The sequence below is a fragment of the Homo sapiens genome, chromosome 2 (genome assembly GCF_000001405.40).
Source record: "Homo sapiens chromosome 2, GRCh38.p14 Primary Assembly".
Taxonomy (NCBI): Eukaryota; Metazoa; Chordata; class Mammalia; order Primates; family Hominidae; genus Homo; species Homo sapiens.
Genome location: NC_000002.12, coordinates 124719487 through 124747051, shown reverse-complemented (window position 1 = coordinate 124747051; position 27565 = coordinate 124719487). Strand labels below are relative to the sequence as shown.

Genomic DNA, 27565 nt, shown 5'->3' with positions numbered 1-27565 from the left:
CTTTGTTTCGTTATCTCATTTTTTTGTTCCTTCTTTTTCCATCTCTGTCTCTCTTTCTCACTCTTTCTATATATTTAAATTTGTATTTCTACATCTATATGTGCCCATATATGTACACATATAAACGACATTTTCATCAAAATGTTTGTATAGTCAAATATTGATGAATGGCAATGCTGAGAGGCAGTGTCGTAAACTTGAATTCTTACCAGATCAGGCACGATTGAGTAAGTTAGGTCAGAATTTAGACCAAAATATTTTAATATATGAATTTCAAAAAATAATAACTTTCTTTTAAAACTACCAAAGAGAAAATGAGAGCACTAGGGCCAAGATTAGCCTGACCTCTGTCCTCAGTTCTGGGTAGACAATGAGGAAGTTAAAGACTCAGGTGAAGAAGAGGTTGGCTGTGTAAGAGGGCTGGTTCTGATGGCCTCCCATTGATTTCTCTCAGGATAATAGTAGCCCTGCAGTTGCCATATCCTCTGATTTTGTTTTTTAAAAAGACATCATTAGTTCTAAGCTCAAAGATTTGGGGGAAAAAAAATAAAAGCACTGTTAAAGCTGATAATATGTGGACCAAACAAACCCTTGTGAAGGTTATATTTAACCCACATAAAGGTGGTATGCAACCTGTGATTTCCAGTCTTTATAGCTAACTGGAAACCATTTTTGAGTCTTGTCCTTCTCAATTTTTTTCTTTACAAAATGTAGTTTAGTGAAATCTGTTGGATTTTTTATGATTGAGAATATTTCAGTAGCTTAGAATTATCATTCTTAAAGTGATACTGCATCCAAAACAAGACAGGCAGATGAAAGTGTTATACATCATTAGGCTGAAGGATGTGAGGCCTGGGCTCCCTTTGGTAATTGTCTTATTTGTGATTGATATACAACAGGTGCTTAACATGTGCTTATTTAAAAAATGAAAGAAATATTTATTAAGGGCCACTTTATATCATTTGCAATTTTACAGTGAATAATAGCAATTGTCTGAGGATGTTACAAGGTTGAAATTTTGCCTAATCAAGATTCTAGTTTACATGCATATTCTTATGTACAAACATAAAAATCACAATTAATCTCTATATACAAAGAGCAACAACTTTCTCTTACTTGCCTCCAGGCTATCATCCCCATGAAAGCCACTGAGGTAAGTAGGAAGAGACCAGGCAACCTAAAGCTTTCATTAATCTGAAGGTCATGAGAAAAACATACAGAAGGTACTTTGAAAATCATCAGCATTTTAGGGGTGCTGATTCATGAAGCAGAGGGCCTGGAGGACTACAGTCATCCCAACATGGCAGTCCACACTCTGCCTAAAGTAAGTTCAATTCCTATGTCATCTTTAAAGCTAGAGTTTCAATTGGAGATGTCTGTTAACCAGTGTGTTCTTTTAAAGAATAGTTATAAACAATATGAATTCATTTTCTTTAGTTTCAAATAACTGTAAATCACTGTAAAATACTACACATGAATTGTTTTCTTCCTAAATCCCTGCTCGGGTGAGCCAAGCACACCTGGCCTAGAGGACTGGCAGGCTTATTTGGAGCATGGAGCACATTCAGGAATGGAGTAAGCTTAGGTGGGTCATCACAGCATGAGTCCAGCCAGCATGAGGGTGAAGCATTTTGTATTTGAATACATTTGTCAGTGTTGTCCTTGGGCCCAAGAATGGAAAGAAATCTCTCAAACTCTCCCTCCTTTCAACAGCCCAGGCCTCTACTCTCAGACTCTAGAATCCAGACTACACAGTCAAATCCAATGAGCAAGAGATACTTTGTTTATGAACTACCCGAAAGGCTATAAGCACATTAATTGCATTGTTACTAATGGTATAAGCTCTGAACAGCCAGTTTGTGTGCAACTTCTGGTGGATGTGTTGCTTCTAGTAGATTTACCAATTCTTATTTGGTGTTTTTACTCCCTAGAAGTTCCATTAGCAGCCCAACTCTTAATTCCGTTTTGAATCCATCAACATCTTGCACCGCTTTGGCCTCTTAGTGCCTCCCTCCTAATGTCTGGCTTAAAGGTTGAGAAGTTTAAAAGTTGAAACACGTTTTAACCAAATGACTCTCAACAAGCAAGAAGAAAAAGAGAGAGAACAAAAAATTATGTATCTATATATGAAAACCGGAGGATTATTGCTAGATTTTCCCTTTAGATGTCCCATCTTTGTGTCTTGGTCTCTGTGCAGTACTGGAGAGATTATAGCAAATGAAGATACTGAGGATCAAACAGGGGTTTGACTCGCCTCAAGTCTTGATGCTAACCATGTAGTCAGGAAGAAAAAACACAACCTAGGCTGTAAATTTTGGCCATTGCAGAAATTGAACTTTTTCTTTCCTGACAGGAGTTTCTTTCAAAAGTGAAGGAACAAAGCATGATTACAAATATTTTATTTACAAACTATGAATTCATTCAACAAATATTTACTAAGGATTCATACTATTTCAGACAAGTTTCTAGGCACTTGGAATAAATCACGTAAGAAAACATACCAAAATAAAGAAACAAACAAAACATGCCCTCCTGCTCGTTACATGGTAATTAATAGGAAATGACAATAAAAATGCTTATATAATTTAGTATTTAGAAAGGGATAAGAGGTATGTTGTATTAGTGCATTTTCATGCTGCTGATAAAAACACACCTAAGACTGGGTAATTTATAAAGAAAAAGAGGATTAATGGACTCACAATTCCATCTGACTGGAGAGGCCTCACCGTCATGGTGGAAGGCAAAAGACATGTCTTACATGGATAAGAGAGAACTGAGTGCCAAGTGAAAGGGTAAACCCCTTATAAAATCATCAGATCTTGTAAGACTTATTCACTACCACGAGAACAGAATGGGGCAAATTGCACCCATGATTCAATTATCTCCCACCTGGTCCCTCCCACAACACATGGGAATCATGGGAGCTACAATTCAGGATGAGATTTGGGTGGGGACACAGCCAAACCCTATCATATATGGAAAATATAAAACAGGCTAAGGACAGCAAGTGTGCTATGAAGAAGGGTGTGTTACAATTTTAAACCATACCAATCAGGAAAGACTTTGATGAAAAGACATCCTGAACAAAACTCATAGGCCACGGATAAGTCACCTGTGGCCATCTGGAAAAGCTCATTGCAGACAAAGTAAATGAACAACATAAAGAACAAATCAGGGCATTTTTTTAGAATCTATGGCTAGGTTTTTAAACTGCACTTTGCAAAATGTTGCAAATGTTCCAATAGGAAGGTTTAACAGGAAAAAAAATGGGTAGCATAAAACAGATAAAATAGAACTTAATTGATCAGGTTCTTGAATAGAAGCTAAGAATTCACTCTGCCTGTTCCAAGCCAAAATGTATTATTATGAAGATGCTGGACTACCACAGAATCATAAATATAAAACCCTGCCCAGCTGGCTGCCCCCGAATGCTGAACGCCTAGAGACGGATTCAGTCGACATGCTGTCTGCACCACCATGACCTCCCTGCAAGTATCTTGAGCTGCAACCCCTGTCTCCCCAAAGATGAGTTTCTGCAGACCCTGTGTCTGCAAAAAAGAAGGTTCACATAGAGCCTGCTTCCTGGGGCTATCTTCCCATCAGAGCATCTCACAGGAGGGGCTGATGGGTAAAGCACAAGTTGCATACTTGGGTCCCAGCTAGAAACGAGATTCGGGATTTAAATTCTGACTTCTTTGCTGTGGAGGCGGGACTCACAACACATTTTCCCCTAATACAGAAGAGTTATTCAAAAGCTAAGCAGAAACTTAGTATCTCTTAATGGATCAATATTTTAAATCTCTGAAATCTCTATTTCTTCCACCAAATGGGGTTATTAAACCAAATATAAACCTGTTTTGATGCTTCTGATAAACAAAGAACTCTATGAAATCTGGTGAGCAGGGCTTAAGGAGGTTCCACAATTTTGCTTTGAAAACCAGGAAGGCACTTCACTTTGACAAGAAGCAAATGGGGAAAAACTCTGTCTATCCCCCAGCTGCCTGCATGTGACATATATATCTCTCCGCGGTAGAGGTCTGCGTTATGCACTGTGCTTCCGGGGCCTGGGGCTCTGGGGATTTGTGAGGCCAGCTCCTTGGCTAGGAAACCAGAGTTTTCATACACAGCCTCAGCAGCCATGCAACGCAAGGACTTCCACAAAACAGCCAAGATTAAGAAAACAAGAGGACTGGGACCTGATGGGAGACTCCTCCAGGAACTCCCAGTAGCAGCCACAAAGCTCTTAGGGAGTTGTCAAGGTCCTCTGTAAGCAGGGTATAAAAAAAATACGACTGAGGAATTGCATGAGTTTACATTACTTCCATGCAAATATTATTGTCATATGACCTCATGCATATAAACAAGGTATGGGAAAACTCAAATTACATATATATATATATGTGTGTGTGTGTGTGTGTGTGTGTGTCTGTGCGTGTAATATGTTTAATATATATCTATATCTATAAATCCTCCTAAGAAAGTATTTGTTTTAGAGTGTACACAGTAAGTGATCACAGAAGGTGATCTTACACACTGCCACACAATAATAATACTATAGCACAACGCAATGTCAGCATTGAGTGCTGGAACCTTCTCAGGATCTCCCTACCCCAAGTTTCAAGGGGATAACCATGAGTGTGTTTTGCTTTGTTGCAGACAACATGCAAACTGAGAGGCACAGTTTAAGCCCTGTAGCTGTCTTCTTTTCAAATGTTCAGTGTCTTTCTGAGTTTTTACTCAAAGTGTTTTAATGGACCTAAATTCTTCCCCAATTTTAAAGCAGAGTATTTGACAAACAAATTAAAAGAAAAAAGTTTGCAAAACTACTATTTAACCCATTTGGCAGAGCAGACTGCATAAGGGTATGTTGTCTTAGGTCTGCCTATAAAACTCCTTGCCAGTGAACTTCCCCCAGTCATTTCAACACAGTGAGCCTCTTCCCCTCTTAATCAGTGTAGATGTAAAGTCCAAATATCTTCACTGTTTCTCCACTGCAGAAATTTCTAGGTGTGTTTTACCTCCAATTTAGATTGCCAGCTGCAGGTTTCTATTTTTCTAATTATCCTAAACAGGATAATGCATCATAAACTTGGAAAAGAATTATCTCAATTGAGCCACAAAAAGACAGAAATAAAAAATAAAGTTGCATATTCTAGAATGTCTTATAAAGAGAGTGTAAGTTTGGGGAGGGAATGTATGTGTGAGAGAAAGAAAGAGAGAGAATAAGGAGGAGGAGGGAGAGGAAGTAAAAGCGGGAAACAATATTGCATCTTCATTTGTTAAATCAGAGATTTCAGCCTATATAGACTCCTATACTTGAATTTAAATCATTCCAGCAGATCAAGTCTAGGGATTTTGCTAATGAGTGAATAACCACACTATCCTGACCATAAAGTTTCCTCAAGTAGAATATGTATATATTATATGCAGAGAAATGGTTCAAAGACAGAGAAAATATATATGTTTTATAGAAGACCTAAACACAAATCTAATTTGTACATGATTAGTTCAAATGATGATTTTTATATTGTAAGAAATTGAAGAGAATTCAAACAGGTTAGTTGCACAATTGTATGGCTTAATCATTGGGAGCTGTTGAACATAATTCAAACTGGAGATCTCTCTGTAATCTTGCAATTGTTTCAATTAAAGTTTTGACAACTGGGAAACAGTAAACACAACAGCTTCCTGGTGATAACTGCAGCTACGGCCAAGAGAATCTGGCCTCTTCCCGTTGCTATGAACAGTCCAAGCAAAATTCCAGACAATATCAGAATGGAGCTAGAAAGTTCCATAGATGTATACAGACTGTGCTCTGTTGAGCTGTTGTTGCCTTTGTGGTTATTGTTTCTCTTTACATTTTTCTAAGTTTAGATGTAATGTATTCTCATAGCCTTAGATTCTGGCAAACTCAGTATGCCAACAAGAAGAGTTTTAGTTCTCATTTCTTTTATTCATACAATGTTTGAAGTTGCAGGAGTAAAAGAAATTTGCTGCACTGATGAGCAAATACATGTGGCAGTGGGTTTAGGGGTGGAGTAAACCCACTGCCCCACTTGATGTGAGGCTTGGCCTTGCTACTTGTGTAGCTCCATGGAATGTGTGCAGAAATGATGATGGTTCAGTTCCAGTGTAGACCTCAAGAGGCATGCATGTTTCCACCTGCCCTTCCAGAGCTTCCTTGACATGACCCTGGGAACATGCCCCAGCAGGTCATGACCTCTCCAGCCACGGCCCCAGAATGTAACTCAGGAAGCACAGTTACCCAGTGGATGCACAGATGAGTGAGTGTGAGAATAAGGACTGCATGTTGTATGTCACTGAGCTTTGGCAACTGGTTATATAGCATTTTTGCAATAATAACTGATAAAATACAAATTAGGTATAAATCACGTGAAAATAAATTCTGTAGGGGTTATAAAGAAGTACATAGAAAGATCAATGATGGCTCTAATTTCAAGGTGTTTGCAATATGGTTAGAAACCGCTAGTGTCTTTCCCATCTGCCCTTCTTCCGTCCCACATGTGATTTATATAAACCCAATCTGGGTTCACCTGGAGTCTGTGCCAACCCAGCCCCAATGATTGGCAGTGTAACCTGACTTCCATGCCTTTGTCCCCTTCAAACACGGTGCTTGGCTGTCACTGCAATGCAGATAGCAGTTTTCCATGATAGTAATGGTCCTGCCTCATCTTTTTAAGTCTCGATGCCACTTACCCATGCATTCAGTTAAAAACTCTTCATAGAACTTTGAAGAAACTATTCTCACAACTGGTCACTTAACTGTAACCTAATGAAACCAGATCTTGTACAGTTTTCTCATAGCCTCTGCCCATAGAATGATGCAAAGTTGCAAGTTTTGTGTGTGTGTATGTGCATGTGTATACACACATATATAATTATATGTAAATTAAATATTATATTCATATTGTATAAAATTACTAATTTATATATAAATTAAATATATAATTCATAAAATTATATAATTAAATGTAATGATGTGAATTGCATATATTATATTCAATGGTTTAACTGTATCCTGTGAAAGGTCATGGTGTAATACGTGAGTGATATAAACTTTAATGAACTTTTGCTACCCTAAAAGAGCTCATAACATTTATAGGAAGGAGGTCCCGCACACAGCTAAGAGTAATGGAAGTCAGAGTGAGATCAGTGCCAAAGAGAGCAGTTAATAAAATTCTAGAAAAGCCCAGAGTAAGAAAATATGACTTCTCACCAGGGGTCGTGGGAACAGTTTTATGCAAATGATGGCATTTGAGCAGAGGCTCAGAGACTTGGTGTTGAGGAGGACTTCGACAAAGTGTGCCGTGGAGAAAGAATTTGTGCAGGTAAAGATCACAAAGAAAAGGAGATCTGATTTTCACCGCAGTCGTCTTTAGGAAATGACTGTTTGGGATAATGAGATTTCTGTACATACTAAACATGCTTTATTTCATTGCTTGCAGTTAAGCGCTGGGGGCTTAAAAAATAAATCTAGAGAACGAGGCCACCAAAGTTATAAGGCCAAGAGATTACCAGTGATTGCAGCACATGTCTCACTATATGAACAAAACACACACCATCAAAATGCTGATTTAGAAAAGAAGACTCTGCCAACAAAAGAAAGTGTTTTATATGCTCTTTCTTTCTAAATAGAATACCGTTTCTGAGAAAACATTTAGTCAGAAAGAAAAACAACTTCATCCATCTTTGAAAATAATGGCAGGCACTCATCAAAGTCAATCTTCGTCTTCCTGCTTGCTGGTCAAGATCGTTAATTCAGAACATATGTCTAATAGTGTGATTAAGGGCTAGTCCGTGACATTAGGAATTAACATTTTTATAATGTTGTTCAATGTTCTCTTCTCCCTGCCTGTTGAATTGAAGTGAGCCAGAAAGAGAGAGGGGGAAACAGAAAAGATTAATGGTACCGCCTCTCAAAACAAATGATAAAAGTCATTTTGATGGGATCATTTCAAGCTGGACTAGGCAAAGCTCTCTAGAATGGACTATGGGGATCCTTCATGGTTAGACAAAGAGATGGACAACGTGATTAACTTAAATGATTCTTTGGGCATTGTGTGAGTTTTTGTAGGAGAATATAAAAATACTTTTGTTTATTGTACAATTTTTTGCTAAGTGCCTCATTGAAGGATCCCAGTAAGGTTAAATGACAGAGTAACACGATGACTGAGCAAAATGTGGGCTACAGGCTCCAGACATCTGAGAACCTGCATAGCTCCTGTCCTGAACATCCACCTTCACAAAGACTCCCAGACCTTGATACTTTCTTTTTTCTTTCTTTCTTTCTTTTTTTTTTTTTGATGGAGTCTCACTCTGTCTCCCAGGCTAGAGTACAGTGGCATAATCTCGGCTCACTGCAACCTCTGCCTGCCAGGTTCAAGGGATTCTCCTGCCACAGCCTCTAGAGTAGCTGGGACTACAGGCGTGTGCCGCCACACCCGGCTAATTTTTTATTTTTAGTAGGACGGGGTTTCACCATGTTGGCCAGCCTGGTCTTGAACTCCTGACCTCAGTTGATCTGCCTGCCTCAACCTCCCAAAGTGCTGAGATTACAGGTGTGAGCCACCTTGCCCGGCAGACCTTGATACTTTCCAATGTGCTGGAAACATCATGAAATAACACGAGACTTACAGATAAAAATGAACATTTTGAGACACTCTTATAAATCTTTAGGAACTGATAACAATAAAGGAACAACTCAGCATTGGAGTAAGATCTTCAGTTTACTACACAATTTCCCTGATACGACAAAAGCATTAGTTTTCAAATGCAGAGTGAAAAGAAAGAGGGAGGACTCTCAACTCTTCATCAAGCTGTGATGTAATAAAGAAACCTCTATTGTGTTAAGCCTCAGAGATTTAGTGTGGGGCATGTTCATGACCTCAGCATAGTTTAACTTATACCGATTCACACAGTAAAAAAAATAATGAATGAAAAGCAGAGTTGGAAAAGTAAAATATCTGATATGTACACACAATCTAGAAACTAAGAATTGCAATAAATCTGGCTACTAAAGCCATTGTGTATATTTAGACTCATGATACTAATAAAAACATCCAGAATTAATTGAGCATTTAAAATATTCCAAGCAGATTCATGCTTTTTTTTAATGTTCTAGCTTATTTACTCTCCACAACAACACTATGAGGTAAATACCTTTATTTCCCCTTTGCAGATGAGAAAACAAAGGCATAGATAGAGGTAAAATTACCTGCTAGTAACTCAGCTAGTCGACGACAGACCCTAGCCACAGCCATAACGATCTCTTCCGTGGGTAATTACAATAGACTCAAAAGTAAAATGCTTGCCTCCATTTTTGTTCCATCCTCCAAAAGTTATTTTTGTAGCATCCAAAAGGGACTTTTAAAGTAAGGATCACTTGATTTACCTCTGATTGAAATTTCCCAATAGTTCCCTATTGCAACAAGAAACAAATCCCACCTTCTCGCCATGGCCCATGAAACCCTGTGCATGTGGTCCTGCAGATTTCTCAGCCTTACGTCTTATTCCACAATCCAGCCTGTGCCCTGCCCTCCAGCTGTACTGGCCTCCTTGCCAGCCCTCGCACATGCTCTTTGATGCTTGCTGCTCTCTGCCTGAACCCGTCCTCCCATGGGTCTTCATAGAGGCTGATGTCTTTCACTGGGTCCTGAAATTAACCATTTAATTATTTCCAGTTAACCCTATCCAAAGCACTCCAACATCACGCTATCGTTCCCAATTTTTTTTTTTTTTTTGAGATGGAGTCTCGCTCTGTCGCCCAGGCTGGAGTGCATTATTGTGATCTCAGCTCACTGCAACCTCCGCCTCCCAGGTTCAAGCAATTCTCCTGCCTCAGCCTCCTGAGTAGTTGGGATTACAAGAGCATACAATCACGTCTGGCTAATTTTTGTATTTTTAGAAGAGATAGGGTTTCTCTATGTTGGTCAGGCTGGTCTCAAACTCCTGACCTCATGATCTACCTGCCTCAGCCTCCCAAAGTACTGAGATTACAGGTGTGAGCCACTGCTCCCAGCCTATTGTTCTTAAGAGTACTGACTACAACCTGAAATCATTATTTTTGTTTATTTTTCTTTGTTTGTATAATGTATTCCCCATTGGAATTAGGAAAAGGGCATTTTATGGCTTGTTCATGACTGTATATCCAACATAGAGAATGGTGCCTTGCTTGCACTAAGAACTAACTACATATTTGCTGAATGAACAAATGACCAAATGCCAAAAAAAAGAAACAACCCAGAAAGATTTTCTATAGATGACATTAAAAAATGTGTTTTGCAGAAATATATATGATTATGATGCCTTTAGCTTCTATATAGGTGCATTCATCTTTGCCATTTTAGGTTATCATTGAAGAAATCAAGTGCTTTTTTTCCATTTTAGTCACATCTCCAAAAAGAGACATCTATTAAGCCTTTGAATAAATGCTTCCTATAAGTGTGGCATAGAATGAGACCACCATACAGTAAGGTTTTCACATATCAGTTCATTCATGGATTAAACAAACCGATATAAAACATCTGCAATGGTCAAGACTCTTGTCTGATTGAACCTGGTTAGTATAAAAGGCAAAACACTTATGAATCCTGCCATCAAGTTCTTCACAATGAAAGGATAAGGGAAAGAAAATGTTAAACATTATTTTTAATTCAATTTAGAATGAAATAAATTTGACGTACAATATTAAGCAATATGTGGAAAGCAAAAGGAAGAAAAATGGCTATTTAGTGGAGAGTACAGTGTCAGGGGAAAAATCTAAAGTCATTTTTTGTTTTGTTTTGTTTTGTTTCCTTTTGTTTAGACAGAGTCTTTCTCTGTTGCACAGTCTGGAGTGCAATGGCGTGATCTCTGCTCACTGCAACCTCCACCTCCCTGGTTCTAGTGATTCTCCCACCTCAGTCTCTCGAATAGCTGGGATTACAGGCACCCGTCATCATGCCCAGCTAATTTTTGTATTTTTGTAGAGACAGAGTTTCACCATGTTGGCCAGGGTGGTATCGAACTCCTGACCTCAGGTGATCTGCCCGCCTCAGCCTCCCAAAGTGCTGTGATTACAGGCGTGAGCCACCGTGCCCAGCATAAAGTCATTTATTTTATGAATACACCTGCCATTTCAGTTTACAAACCAGTGAGGAAAGTTGGATATCCGTAACACTAACATTCGAAACGAGGTTCACATCACATAACTCATTCAACCCTCTCAACAAAGCTGTGAAGATACTCATTCTCATCTTACAGATAAAAAATGGTAGCTAACAATGGATTAGCAAATTCCCCAAAATCACACAGAAAATAAAAAGGATCTTGAATTTAGATCTTATGGCTCCAAATCCCAATATTTTTACATATTATGTGAAACCTGGTCCTATTAGAGAAGGGAATAAAAGAGTACTATATATTTTCACAGCACTTGTTCTTGAATCAATATTAAAATAGTATAAATCAAATAATCATTACATTGGTAAAACTACAGATCATTATTGAGTATGTATCCTCAACCCTCTTGGGGATATTCCCAAATATATTGTCTTTCCAACTGTATTAGTCTATCTATTGATTTATCTAAAAAACAAATTAACAGAAAAGCAAAAAAAAAAAAGTCTTGTAGAAATAATTGTTCTAATAAGTATCATGGTTTCTATGAAGTCTAATTGGCCTAAACCTCTATATTTTTTCTCAGTAGCTACCTAGGAGTGATAGGCTAATCATGTAACTGGGAATCAGCTGAAATTTTTCCTTAGAAGTCTTATATCAGCATCTCTCAAAGTATAGCCTCTGGCCACTTGAATCAGAATGATCTGGGATGTCTTACGGACATGTTTTATTTGTTTGTTTGTTTGTTTTTTGGATGGGCAGTCATTGATTCAACTAAAAATTAATTATTGTGGAGGAAAGGGGGTACATATATAGAGAGGGGAAAGCTAGAATTCTCTGCCCAAAGCTGTCAACAACATTAAAATGGATATCACACAGCCATACATTAATGCATTTTACCCAGGATATGGGTTTTTGAAAACTTCCCAGACACTTGGAGAGTACAGCCCAAGATTCTTCATTTACTTCACACTTATCAGGTGACACTAAAACTTTACTCAAGTTTACACACCTAAATTTTAGAATCACTAATTACAAGGTTTGAACTTTATTTAAAATTTTCAGGCCTCTATCCCCTCTCTTTTATGAGGAATTCTTGTTCGATGACACCACGGATTGCTAAACACTAATGAGCTACTTAGTTTTAGGTTTTACTCTTACCAAATCGCATGCGTTAGGTTACAGCAGATCCATCTAAAGAAAGGTAGGATGATAAGTGGAGACAAATAAAATACAGAGAAAAAATAAAGGTTAACTTGGAAATGAGAGAAGGTCACCAAATTTCTGGTTATTCTTATTAGAATTAAAAACAGGCAGTTGCTTTGCTTTTGTCTTGGTCAACTATAAATCTAGTGTGCATGTGATGATGCTACTTTTCTCACAAATTTGCTACAAGAGTCCCAAAAGAACATCTCCCACAGTTACTCTTTCTTCGCTAGCCCCCATTCCCATTCCCTTTTGCTTCATTTCTGCAGCAAACTCTGTTCCATCATTTGAAAATATCAGTGAGGTTCAGTTAGATTTCTTGTGATTTTTGTTTACCCTGCTTCACACACACACACAAAGTCACTAGGTCCCAATTCCTGTGTCAAACGTTCTCTCATGCTCACTTTTCATTTGTTTCCATGGGAAGATGATAACATTTTTCCTCTCTTCATTCTCTCTCTCTCTCTCTGTGTTCATTTGTGTCTCCATGTAGCGGGGTTTACCAGCCTTCCTCCCATCCCACCACCCTTCAGCAGACCAGGACTTTGGAGATGTGGGGTGTTTTTCTCTGTCCTTTGTCATAGATATTTTATCTATTGCTTATACACAAATGCCTAAAAAGTCTTGGTTCTCCAGCTCTGCATGCTTTTCTGAGCTGTTTGATGGAGAGCTGCTCCATGAGTACCTCAAACGAGTAGCACATTGCTATGTGGTGTGTCCTTCTTCCTACTCAGGCTTCACACATGTTTTCCCATTTTTTGCAGCCTTAGGTTGAGAAGTTTAATACTCTATTCAACAAACACTAGTCTCTTAACTATCAAGACAGCAAAGCCTGTGCATGTCGTATTAACACTCTCCCCCATCAAAGCTTTCTTTGCAGATTTCTTTCCAAATCTGCAGTGTGGGCTCACTGTGTCCTGCCTGCACATCACTGCAATCTACTCTGCACACATGCACTCAACTAGTTTTCTTAAACTAACTATTCGATTACAATGCTTTCTGCCAGCAAAACATTCAATAGTATCTCATTTGCAAATGAATTTAAAGAAACAAAAAACTAGCAATCTGCTCTTCAATACCTCTACTCCCTAGCCCCCAAGCTACTTTTCATATTGGTCTACTTTCCTAGACAGATGTTCTTCCTCAATCAAATTGGGTTGTTACTCTTTTTTATTAAAAAAAAAATCTTGTTCGTTTAGTTTGAATTTCTGCTAACATAATTCTTTCCTGCAGGAATAGTTGACTTCCACCCTTCCACATTTTGACATATGTAAATTCTACTTCCCTTCTTTTTCAAAGCCCTTTTTAAATGCTTTTTCCCATAAGAAGTCTTCTCTAACAATTTTATTTGAAAGCATTTCCTCTTCTCAATTGTATAGCACTTTGAAAAAAAATGAAAATTATTGACTGACTGCATACTATCTTATATCGGGCTATTTCTCTTAAATTCCTTAACAAATTGCAATTTCTTTATACAATATCAAGACTAATTATATGTATAATATTCCATTTTCCAGATACTTCTTTACAAAGTTTGAAGAATATTTATTACCTACTGTGCTATGTGTGTGTGTGTGTGTTTAGAATATACACATGGAGGTATTAACATTTCCCCCAAAAGCTCCTAATCTTTTCTTAAATAAGGTGTTCAATAAATCAATAATTTTGTGTTAAATAAAGTGAACAGGGAGTAAATGTTGCATTGCTAATCAAAATGCCATTGCAATTATTCATGTGAATAGACCCACCTCCAAGTCACTGTTTCATTTATCAAGACAACAACTAATCCACTGTTGTTTATATTCTGAGTCTTTTAATCAAAGTGGAAATCCCTCATGGTGATGGCATATTTTATGGAATTTTTGTGTTTGAAAACATGTCACAAAGGGTGAGAACTCTTATGTAAGGAACTCGGTATTTTCTATAGCTTCATCAACTAATTAATACACATTTACTATAAATTAAAGTTTGAAATAAGTACTCTTTAGTTGAAAATGTGAAATTCAGTGCATTTTTCTTATGAAAAATAAATTTGGTATGCATTTTGGTCTATTTGGCCGGCTATAACAAAATTCCATAAACTGGATAGCTTATAAACAACAGAAATTGATGTCTTACAATTCTGGATGCTGGGAAGTCCAAAATGAAGGCAATTCCCATGTCTACCGGGAGCTCACTTTCTGGATCAGGGAAACTGCCTTGTTGATGTGTCCTTGCGAGGTAGAAGGGCTTAGGGTCTCCCTTGGGCCTGTTTTCTAAGGGCATTAATCCTATGCGTGAGAACTTTATCCTCATGGTCTGATCCCTCACCAAAGGCTCCACCTTCTTATGCCATCACACTGGTGATTACGTTTCAATGTATGAATTTTGGAGGAATAAAAATATTCATACCATAGGAATATGACAGAATTTTATTGATCCATTAAAATTTTCTAAGAGAACCTGGTTGCTGAAAAGAAACAAGAAGTATGGAATAAAATAAGTTGAGCAACTGAGACTCAATTATGTATTTTCTCTTCAAAATTATCTAGTCTCTATCAACATTTTATCTTGAGCTCACTCATTATAAAACAAAAAAGAATCAGATTTCCAGCAGTGCACTCAAAAAAGCTATAACACTGATCCCTGACAAGCTGCTATTTTGCATTGTAATACATTTTTAAAAATTTCTTTGTCTAAGTAAAATATACTAAGATGAAAAACTAAACTTGCTCCGAGTAAAAGAATAAATTTTCACCCAAATGATGAACAAAGAGACCTAAATGGAAGGAGGGTATGCTGTGTTTATATAATAAACTCTTGAATTGTCTTACCCAATTAAGTATTGCATTCCTTTCAACACACATGTACACACACACACATACACTCACACTCATACACACACTTACACTCATATACACCCTCATACATGCACACTCACACATACACTCATAAACACACTCACACTCATACACCCAGAAACACACACTCATATACACATACACACACAAATACATGCACACCCATACACACATTCTTACACATAAACACCTATATGATTTTTCTTACCCAAGATTGCCCTTTGCTCTTTCTTATTTCTTTTTTCTTTCTTTCCTGGTTCTCCTTTTTCTCTCTGTCTCTGCATTTGTCTCTCTCTCCCTCCTTCCTTTCTTTCTTTCTTGCTCCCTTTCTCCTCCTCCTCTCCCCAAATTATTTTTACCTTTCTTGTTCCCTCTGATCTCCCCATATTCCTTCCTTTGATCCCCTCCTGAAAGGCAACCTTTTTAAACGCCTTAGCACAATCGATTCGACAAGAATTTATCACAATCCTATCTACAGTATTTTATTGTTGATGGTTAATAAGCATTATCTGCTTACGGTAAAAGAAAAAAAAAAGAAGTGAAAAAAGGTGAGAAAAGAGCCAGCAAGAACCTTTTAAATAAATACCTACATGCATCAAGTTTCCCTTCAAATTCATTATAGTAGGTGGGCAAATACATCAAAGAGAACAGGAAGGAGACAAAATGAGTTTGCTTTTCACAATGCTAATGAACAAACAAAAATTCTCTATTCATGTATGTCTGCACTTGAAACATGACTGATGGCTGCAAGTCTAATATTCATTAGAGGTCTGAGCAAGGCATAGACAGAAAGTTGATGGAGCCCAGCGATCACACCCATTAGGAAGTGCTGGAAACGGCACGAGGCAGCAACATAAGAAGAATGGGCACAGAGCAGCTCTTCTAATGAATAAAATATGAAGAACTTTGCAATTACACAGACTAGAAAGAAGTGGCCAGAGGATCATCAGCATAACGATAGTAATAAAAATAGGATTTCATGCCTGTATCTCCTATTTCACAGCCCCATATCTGAAGAATATTAACCACTCTCCTGTTTATGATTATTTACAGGGTATATAACAAAAAATAAAATAAGGCTATGGATTTCTTGCCTTTGAGGATTTTCTATTCCATAATACCCCACAAAGGTCATTTAATTATTCTGAAAGATATTCTACAATCATAAAATATATGAAATTGGCAATTTTGGTTTCTGGGCAAAAATGTACCATTTAAAAATATACTTTGTGTCTTATAAAACTAGATAAAATCAAAACAAAAAACAGATGAAATCAAAATAAAGTTATTTTCTAAATAAAAATACTGAAAACATTGGCTAGTGTTTACACAAGACTTACAACATACTAGTTGCTATGTTTCCACATCATAAAAGGTAGAGAAGAAGAATTGAATTTATGAGAGGTTGACTGTAATCTACTTAAGGGCAGGGATGATTGGTAGTCATTACATGCCAGCATATTTTATAAGTTCAGTAATTCTTTAAATAATAATTGAATGAATAAATACATATCTGTTTGCAGATATATATATATATATATCTGTACACATGTCCACACACACACGCGCACACCTGTATACTACACGAAACACCATTCTCATTAAAAGATGTACTGATACAAACACTCTTAATAATAACTGCAATACAGTTTCCCTAAAGACACATTTTTTACCTAAGATTTAAGACAGGATTTTTATTGAAAAACTTGTAGCTATATTGGTCAAAGACAGCTATGCATTTTTTCAGATAACATGGTGCAAGTCTTCATTTTTCAAGAAGTCATTTTGTTGCTATCACGAGAAAAAGCTAAGTGATTGGAAATAACATGATATACTACATTAGCACTCAAGTCTGATGCTAGCAAACCTATTCCTTGTCTCTCATCAGGATACACCATTAACAGAGGCTGCCTTCTAGGATCTCAGTCAATACGAACAAGTCAATTAAAGGGCCTTTCAGCTGACAGAAATAGTTAATGCATTGTTGGCTGCTCTCTTAGAAGTCTAGAATCAAATTAGAAAAATAAGCACATTATAAAAAAATGAATGTGAACAGGTTTTTTGGATAGTGTAATTCAAGCAGTATCTAAGATTTAGGACTCATTTCTGGTTATAGAGAAAATATCTCAAAATAGAGGGTGTGGTTATTTTATCTTGAGTATCTGGTTACTCCAGAACTTTGAGTAACAACTATCATATTTCATCAAAGATGATAAAATAGGTCATCATTGATAATTGGTCGTACCATTATTTTTGTATTGCTAAGAAGGAAAACTGCTGCCAGTTCAACAATCTTACCCCATTGATTCTAAGATTCATTTCAATTTCAGAGATATCAAAAATGTAAAACAAAATTAGCGTTTGACTGTATTTACACATATAAACTTCTTATAATTCATTGCATCTGAAATTAATGCTTTTTACCTAGTCAGAAAAATTGCTCAGAATTGTTTATTGAACATATGACAAGGATAAAGAATGATGCCTAACAAAGAAAACAATAATAAAAAATTCATTATTATTCTATTAATATTTTCTTATGAACAATAACTACTTTTTTGCAAAAATTAGACATTATTACAAGTATTTCATTGTATTACATTAATAAAAATATTTGAAGATTAGAGTTCTCAACTAAGAAATGCATATACATGGAATCATTTCAAAGGAGGTCCTGAAATTCTCTGATATTCCTCTCATTGGGAGATAAGGTTTGTGTCTCCTCTTGAATCTGAGTGGGCTGACTCCTGCAGCCAGTAGATCAGGATTGATGTGACATTACATGACTTCTCAGGTGGGATACTAAAAGGCCTGGTAAGGTCCAGTAGTTCTTGGATTATAATTCCATGAAAGGCCCTTGTTGATTACATCCTGAGAGCCTAAAATACTGTCTCTCTCTGCATACCAGCCAACAAAGTGAGAGGGCCTTTATAAGACTTTAAGCATATTTGGAAATTCACATTTGGAAATTCACATCAGATAATAGAAAATAGTCTAGCTTATATATTTGATTATAAATTAGAATTGAGTTTAGTTTACAAATTGGATTATGAAGACTCATTCAAATCTTATTTGTGGAGTTGCCAGATTTTAGAATAGTGTCATTCAGAAAAAGGCAAAAAATCCTCAGAATTTTATTAAAGGTTTTAAGCCAATTTTTCCATGCCTCATTCCATATTTATTACAAATATTACCTCTCCCATGAAGCATTTTTGATCAAATCAGCTATGAATAACTATTACTTCAGGCTTTTTTGAAAATAATGTATATGTATTACATTAAAATAATGCATATGTATTAAAATATTTAAAGATATTTTACATTCATTGAAATAAAGAACAACATTACTTGTGTCTGTTCATTTCTTTGATTTCAGGGGGTTTTCAATGAGAACATGATCAATAAATCTGAACAGATCAATAATGAGTATGAATATTGCATCAGTAATCAAAAACCACCCAATAAAGAAAAGCCTAGCATCATGTGGCTTCACTGGTGAATTCTAAGCAATATTTAAAGAACTAGTGTCAATCCTTCTCAAACTCTTACTTCCGTAAATTGAAGAGCAAGGAGCATTTCTTAACTCATTTTAAAAGGCCAGCATTGCCCTAATATCAAAGCCAGACAAGGGCAAAGAAAATTGCAGCCAACATCGCTGATGAACACAGATGTAAAAGAATCCTCGATAGAATACTAGTAAATGAAATTCAAAAGCACATCAAGAGAATTACACACCATGATCAAGTGAGATAAAAGGATTGTTCAACATATACAAATCAATAAATGTGATACACCACATTAGCAGAATAAGAATGAAAACCTTTTTATCATCTAAATATATGCAGAAAAAAATATTTGCAAAATTCAACATTGCTTCATGATAAAGACTCTCCACAAATTAAGTAGAAGGAATGTACCTCAATACAATAAAGGTCATATATGACTAACCTACAGCTAACGTCATACTCAATCTTTAAAGTTGAAAGATTTTCCTCTAAGATTAGGAACAAGGAAAGGATGCCCATTCTGACCACTTCTATTCAACATAGTACTTAAAGTCCTGGCCAGAGCAATTATATAAAATAAAGAAAGAAATAAAAACATCCAAAATGGAAAAAATAAGTAAAATTGTCTCTGCAGATGACATAATCTTATACATAGAAAACCCTAAAGATGATGCCAAAAACTGTTAGAATAGATGAATTCGGTAAAGTTGCAGAAAATGAAATCAACATTTACAATTTAGTAGTGCTTCTATATACGAACAATGAATTGTCTGAAAAATAAATAAGACAATCTCATTACAATAGCAACAAAAATGAATGAATTTACTTAGAAATAAATGTAACCATGGAAGCGTAAGACCTGTACACTGAATACTATAAAACATTGATAAACGAAATGGTGAAAGACACAAATAAATAGAGAAATAGGCCATTTCATGGATTCAATGAGTTAATATTGCTAAAATGACCATACTACCCAAAGTTCAATGCAATCATTATCATAATTTTAATGGTATTTTTCACACAAAAAAGGAAAAAATGATTCTACAATTTATAAGGAACCACAAAAGACCCTGAATAGTCAAATCAATCCTCAACAAGAATAAAACTGGAGACATCACACTTCCTTATTTCAAATATAAAGCTACAGTAGTCATAATAATATGGTACTATCATAAAAGCAGACATATAGGCCAACAGGACAGAATAAATAACCTCAAAATGAATCCAGGCACTTAGAGTCAACTACCTTTGGCAAGAGTACAAAGGACAAAACATGGTGAAAGGTCAGTCTTTTCAATAAAGATGTTTGAGAAAACTGTGTATCCACATGCAGAAAAATAAAACTGGACCCTTATCTCATGCAATATGTAAAAATCAACTAAAAATTGATTAAAAATTTAAACAAAAGACCTGTACCTGTAAAAATAACAGAAGAAAACACTGGATAAAATCTTCATGATGTTAGTCTGAACAACATTTTTTTAGCATGACCCCAAAAGCACAGACAACAAAAGTAAAAATAAACCAGAGGGACTGTATCAAAATAAAAATATGCTTAAATTAAAAAAAATCAACAATCGAGAGTGAAAAAATATCCTATGGAATACAGGGGAGGAAATGTTTGCAAACTATACATCTGATAAGGGGTTAATCATCAAAATCCATAAGAAACTGAAACAACTCAATAGCAATAAATAAATAAATAATATTTTAAAAGAAATGAATAGACTTTTTTTTGAAGAAGACGTACAAATGGCTAACAAGTATATGAAAAGCTATTCAAAATCACTAATTGTATTAGTCTGTTTTCACACTGCTATAAGAAAACTACTTGAGACTGGATAATTTATAAAGAAAGATTTAATTGACTCACAGTTCCTCATGGCTGGGGAGAACTTAGGAAACTAACAATCTTAGGGGAAAGCAAATGGGAAGCAAGGCACATCTTACATGGTGACAGGGGAGAGAAAACAAAAGGGGGGAACTGCCAAACACTTTTAAACCATTAGATATTGTGAGAACTAACTCACTATCTTGACAACAGCATAGGGGAAACTCCCTCCATGATCCAATCACCTCTTACCAGGTCCTTCTCTTGACACACGGGGATTACAACTTGAGATGCAATTTGGGTGGGGACACAGAGCCAAACCATATCACTAATAATCAGAAAAATGCAAACCATAACTACATGAGCTATCACCTCAGACCTGTCTGAATGGCTGTAATTAAAAGGGAAAATTTAACAAGCATTGGTGAAGACATGGAGAAAATGGAACACTTGTACACTCTTGGTGGGAATGTAAATTGGTATTGTCATTACAGAAAACAGTATGGAGGTTCCACAAAATAATTTAAATGGAACTATCATATATATACACATACATATATATCATATATCATATATATATACACACACGCATATATACCATGCACCCACACACATACACAATACATAATGAAATGTTATTCAGCTTTTAAAAAGTAATTCTTGCCATTTCCAATGACATGAATGAATCTGGAGGACATTATGCTAGTGAAAAAAGCCAAACACAGAAAGACAAATACCTTATGATCTCACTTACATGAGGAACCTAAAAATTTGAATTCACAGAAGCAGAGAGTAGAATGGTAGTTTCCAGGGGCTGGGGAGTAGGGAAAGTAGAGACATGTCGTTCGAAGAGTACAAAGTTTCAGTTATGCAGAATAAGGTCTGGAGACCTAATATGTGGCATGATAACTATAGTTGATACTACTGTACTGCATACTTTAAATGTGCCAAAAGAGTAAATCTTAAGTGTTCTCACCACACACAGAAAAAGAAAGAGTGAGAGAGAGAGGAAGGAAACAAGAGGAGAGAAGAGGAAAGGAGAGGAGAGGAGAGGAAAGGAAGGGGGAAGGAGGAAGGGGAAGGGGAAGAGGAAGGGGAAGGGGAAGGGGAGTAAAGGGAGGGAAACTATGTGAGGTCATGGATATGTTAGTTAACTTCATTGTGGTAATCATCTCATAATGTATAACTGTATCAAAACATCATGTATACCATATATATACAATTTTTGTCAATTATTCTTCAATAAAGCTGGAAAAAAATAACAATCCCTGCATCTGTTATAAAGTATAAATGAAGACTGTCCTAGTAAAAACAAAAAATAAAATTATGGAAATATTTTTAATTCAATTTTGGCAATAAAAGAAAAAAATCATCATCACACATTTCTTACACACAGAAATAGATTTTACAAATCAGTGAGAAGTAAATGATTTTTTAAACATTGAGTTGGAAAATAAATTTATGTGTATGTGAGACCCTGTACAGAAGAACACAGAGCAGTTTGCCGGAAAATGTCCTCAATAGACTACCCTCCAAAAAGTCAGTACGTTGAATTTCATGGGGAAGAATTTCTTAGAGAAATTCATATAGTGGAATCTCCTTTAAAAAAAAAAAAAAAAAAAAAGCTAAGGGAATTTCCCTTGAAAAAAGCTGAGGGATTGAAGCTGAGGGATTAATGTACCACAGTAAAGGAGTTGCCTTCGAATTGCTGGCTTAATGTAAAGACTAAAATTCAGAACAGATGAGTAGCATTGTCTTCCCATGACCCTCCCTCCCACTAATACTACTTTTTTGAGCTGGGCTTTGGGTGAGTTCTTGATAGAGAGCACATTAAGGGCATGTGATGTGGGATGCTGCTTGGAATTATGGTCAAATGCTTTACAGAAGAGATAAGGATGCAGCTGTCCATCCAATGTATTCAAGCAGGGCCAGGGAGAGAGGGAGAAAGCTGGACTCAACTGTGTCTTCAGACTTTTAGATCTCCACACACATTACTATTATGGTGATTTGAGCATAGGCTATCAGAAAATATTGGTGAATTAATTGATCACATGTATATTTATCTTTAACTTGGTATCTTCTATGGGCTGACTTGTGCGCCTTGCCACCACAATTATGTTGAAGTGCCAGTTTCCAGACACCTGAATACGTGGAGGTTCCTGGAGGGTGATGCCCCTGGCGAGGGTGTGGAACCTCCATGGTCCTTCACCTGTACTTCACCCTACACATCTCTTAATCTGTATCCTTTGCAGTATTCTTTATAATCAACCACATGGTTAAACAAAACAACAAAACAACAAAAAAAATGTTGAAGTGCCAACATGCAGCACCTCAGAATGCCTCTGAATTAGAGATAAGATCTGTATCATCATTATTATTATTATTATTATTATTATTATTATTTGAGATGGAGTCTCCCTCTGTCACCAGGCTGGAGGGCAGTGGTGCAATCTCAGCTCACTGCAACCTCCACCTCCCAGGTTCAAGGGATTCTCATGGCTCAGCCTCCCGAGTAGCTGGGATTACAGGCACGTGCCATCACACTCAGCTAATTTTTATATTTTTAACAGAGATGGGATTTCACCATGTTTTGCCAGGATGGCCTCAATCTCCTGCCCTTGTGATCCACCCACCTCAGCCTCCCAAAGTGCTGGGATTACAGGCATGAGACACTGCACCCGGCCTAAAGATAAGATCTTAAAAGAGGTGATTAAGCTAAAATGACGCTGTTTGGGCGGGTTCAAATCCAATTTGGCTCGTGTCCTTGTAAGAATGGAAGATGAACTGGGCATGGGAACACACAGAAGAAGCACTCTGTGGGGACATATCAAGAAGGTGGCCATCTGCAAGTCAAAATTGAAGCCTCAGAGTAAAACCAACCCTGCTGACACCTTGATCCTGGACCTCTAACTTTAAGAACTGTGAGAGAATAAACTGCTGATCAAGTCACTCAGTCTATGGTATTTTGTTAAGGCAGTCCTAGCAAAGGAAACCAGATTTGATACAGGGAAGTGTGGTGCAGCTGTAACAAATACCTAAAAATGTGGAGCAGCTTTGGAATTGGGTAATATGCAAAGGCTAGACAAGTTTTGAAATACATGTTAGAAAGATCTTACACTGTCTTGAAGAGACTTTTGGTAGGAATACAATGAATGTTAAATGCGATTTTTGAGGTCTCAGACAGAGATGAGGAGCATGTTACTGGAAATTGAAGGAACATGATCTTTGTTATAAAAGTAAAAAAAAGAGGCTGAATTGTATTCTAGTGTTTTGTGGAAAGTGCATATTGTATGTGATGAACTTGAATATTTAGCAAAGAAAATTCTACACAAACTGTCAAAGCTATGGCCTAGATTTTTTGACTGTTTATAGAAAAATGTCATTGGAAGAGATACATTAAAGCAACTGTCAAGCAAAAAGAAACAAGAACTTCATGATTTGTAAAAGTATCAGCCTGTCCATATTGCCAAAAAGTAGAAAGTGGGTTCTGGAGAGAACACAGTAAGTATGGCTGGAAAATTATTTGGTAAAGAGATTATAGATGTGGCTCCTGGATCTAATCAGCCACCTCCCAGGAAGCTATGAATAGAGAGAAATGGGAGACACACTGCCATCCTTGACTGAAGGTGACAGAGAGAAGACAATAGGAAGGAAGACTGTCAGACTTCTGGGATGTGGCAGGATGGGAAAATAGAGCTATCTAGCTGCAAGCACATGTTTTCATTCAAGGAAAGGGAAGAAGGACTCAAAGGTGACTCAAAGATTGCAAGGGCTGTCACTGCGGCCACTGTCCTGGAGGACACAGGCTCAGGGGTCAAGGCTGCCTCCAATTCATTTTCTGAGGTTGAGGCTACCCCCTTAATCTCAGCAGCCCAGCTGCCATTACCCAACTCCTATGGATGGGGCTACCACCCAGGAACTCAGGAGGTAATGCTGCCACTTCAGTGGGCCTTGAATATAAGGCCACCATACCTACCAGCAGGCCTGGAGGATGAGCATGAAGCCAAAAAGAATTAGTCTGGAGCCTTAAAATCTAATAAAATTTGCCATACTAGGATTTGGTCTTGCTTGGGACCTATGACACCATCTTCTTCTCAATTTCTCCTTTTTGGCAGGAGAATGTCTATCTGGTGATTGTCTGCCATTATATTTTGGAAGCAGATAGCTTGTCTGCTCCCCCAGGTTTACAGCTGGAGAAAAATTCTGCAGCAGGATGAATCATACTTTGGATCTCACACTTAGTTTAAATGATATTTTAATGAGATTTGGGCCTTAGAGTTGGTGCTGAAATGGGTTAAGACTTTTGAGCTGTTGGGATGGAGTGATTGTATTTTGCATGTAAGAAGTGTAGCAATTTGAGGGGTCCAAAGAGCAGAATGTTATGAACTGAATTGTGTTCTTCCCAAATTCTTATGTTGCTGTCTAACCCTGAAGACCTCAGAATGTGTCTCTATTAAGATATAAGGTCTTTTAAAAAATGAAGGTAAAACAGGACTGTTTATGTGGGGCCCAAATCCAATGAGACTGGTGTCCTTATAAGGCCTCATCTTCAGAAGATAAACTAGGGGTGTGCAAGCAGAGAAGAAAGGCTGTGTGAGGGCTCAGCAGGAAGGCAGGCATCTGCACACTCAGGGGACAGGTGTTGGAAAAAAAACATTTCTGCCAGCACCTTGCTTGTGCACTGCTAGCCTGGAGACCTGTGAGAGAATAAAATTTTGTTCTTTAAGCCACTCAATCTGTGGCATTTTGTTATGGCAACCCTAGCAAACTAAATCAGTACTGTTTAGGATTCCTCCTGATATATCAGAATTTTGAATTTTAAAATCCCCAACACTTTGAAGGAAAACCATACTTTCCCTTAATTATTAAGGGGAAAAGTAGTATTTGTGAAAATAAATAGGGTAATACATTTGCTGGTTTGTTTTCAGAACCTGCTGACCTTAATGTCTCCTGAGATTTTTGTATGTCTATTTGTCTGCTTCTGACACCCTATATTTAATTTTTTTTCTTTTTTGTTTTTTTAATATTTATTTATGTATTTATTTATTTATTTATTTATTTATTTTGAGATGGAGTCTCACTCTGTCACCCAGGCTGGAGTGCAGTGGCATGATCTTGGCTCACTGCAACCTCCGCCGTCCGGGTTCAAGCAATTGATTCTCCTGCCTCAGCCTCCCAAGTAGCTGGGATTACATGTGAGTGCCACCACGCCTGGCTAGTTTTTGTATTTTTGGAGAGATGGGGTTTCACCATGTTGGTCAGGCTGGTTACAAACTCCTGAACTCAAGTGATCCACGTGCCTCGGCCTCCCAAACTGTAGGGATTACAGGCATAAGCCTCAGTGCCCAGCCGCATTTAATTCTTGTAAATAAACAAGGTGCAAATCTGCTGGTCAGTTCTGAGTACTGTAAGATCTGCCCTGTATCTAGTGTAGTGAGGGAGCTGGACAGAGGCAAAGGTGAGTGTTGGTTTACACTATCTTCCTCTGTCTGATTAATGGGATTTGCCCTTTCCACACTTCAGGAGGTACGGGAAAGATGGAAACAGAAGCAGAGGAATGTGCCAAAGAGCATGGACCAGCATTATTTAGGTTCATAGTAAAGAAAACAATTTTACCATCTTAAAGTATACTAAAGAAGAAAAAAATTAAGGGGCCATAAATTATATTCTCCGTCTGATCCAATGAAATATAAACTAATTATCAGCCTTTAAAGAAATGTAGCACTCCATTTCATAGCTAAAGGGTTATAGGTACACTAATAATCAATTTGTCATTTTAAATTTTCAAAAGTACAACTGTCTTTGCTATAGCAAATTGATTCAAAGTTGACATTTTAATTTCTGAGTGTTGTGGTTTTTATTCTCAGGATCTCAGCAAGGCTCATTCAGAGGAAATGAAATTCCTGGCTCTACCTTTTCTCACTCCATGCCTAACTCTACTAAAATAGCTTTTAACGCAGTAGAGTCACCTGAAAATTTAAAATCAAATTTAAAAAGTGATTTTCTGAGTCATTTTTTTTTCTTGGGATGCAAAGAAGGTTCTTTTTGGAAATATGATCAGCTGCTAAGTTATTTCTGGTTAAATCAATTGTACACTTTAAACTCATCAGAGCAGAATGGGAAGTGAGAGAAGCAACCAGACGTGTCTACAGCTTCAACTGGGAAAAAGGGAACACATGTTTTCAGAAAATAGTCAAAGGGGGAAGCCACTAGATTTTTCAACAGTTTTAATGACAATATTTGGCAGCTCAAATACTTCAGTTACATACCGAAAACAACTAATAAAATTAGTCAACAGCAAAAATACAGGCTATACAAAACCCTTTCTTATAGATGAAGGAATTGAAGCCCAGTTTATGGGAATGGTCTCACAGTGTGGGGTCACCGTGAGAATTCAGATGCTGGGATGATGGAGGGACCAAGGCAATATTAAGCTAAAAGGTCATTCAAAACTGTCCTGGAGCTCAGAGTCTCGCTTCTGTCTCATTCATACTGGCTGGCTTGGCTGTCCCTAATTCTTAGTTCAATTCTGAGAGAATCTTGGTAGCCAGATTATCCACACTTTTTTCTTTCTCCATGGCTTTCCCCACGGAAATCATCTGTTTTAGGCAAAATAAATCATCTACTACCAAGACTAGGACCACTGAGCCCTTGCTTCAAAGACCAATCTCATTACATCACATTAAAATATTAGCCATGCACTCTGCTACACTCTTGATACAAATGTTAAGGCAAAGTTTCTCGAGAGGCATTTGGCCTTATTAAAAGTCTTAAAATTCCTCTTATAAAGATGTTTCTTAAGATTTCATAATAAAAAAGATTAATTACAGTATTATTGAGAGTTAAAAAAAATGGGGATATAGTTTAAGTGCCTTCAACAGAGAAAGTATAAAATAGTCACAGGACCACAAGAGAAACTATTACGTAGCCAGTGGAAATCTCTGTGCAAGGAGGTTTTCAAATTTATATGGTGAAGTTGAAAATCAGAAAGAAAATTAAAAGTAGGCATCATTTTAAAACCCCTTTTTTTATACACCAGATCTCAGAATGAATAATCTCTT

At 37.0% G+C, this 27565-nt stretch overlaps 1 protein-coding gene across 3 annotated transcripts in view; it reads right to left on the bottom strand.

Moving 5' to 3' along the window:
* Window positions 1-27565, bottom strand: part of CNTNAP5 (contactin associated protein family member 5) — an 895933-nt gene that overhangs the window by 174168 nt on the left and 694200 nt on the right. The window lies entirely within an intron of this gene.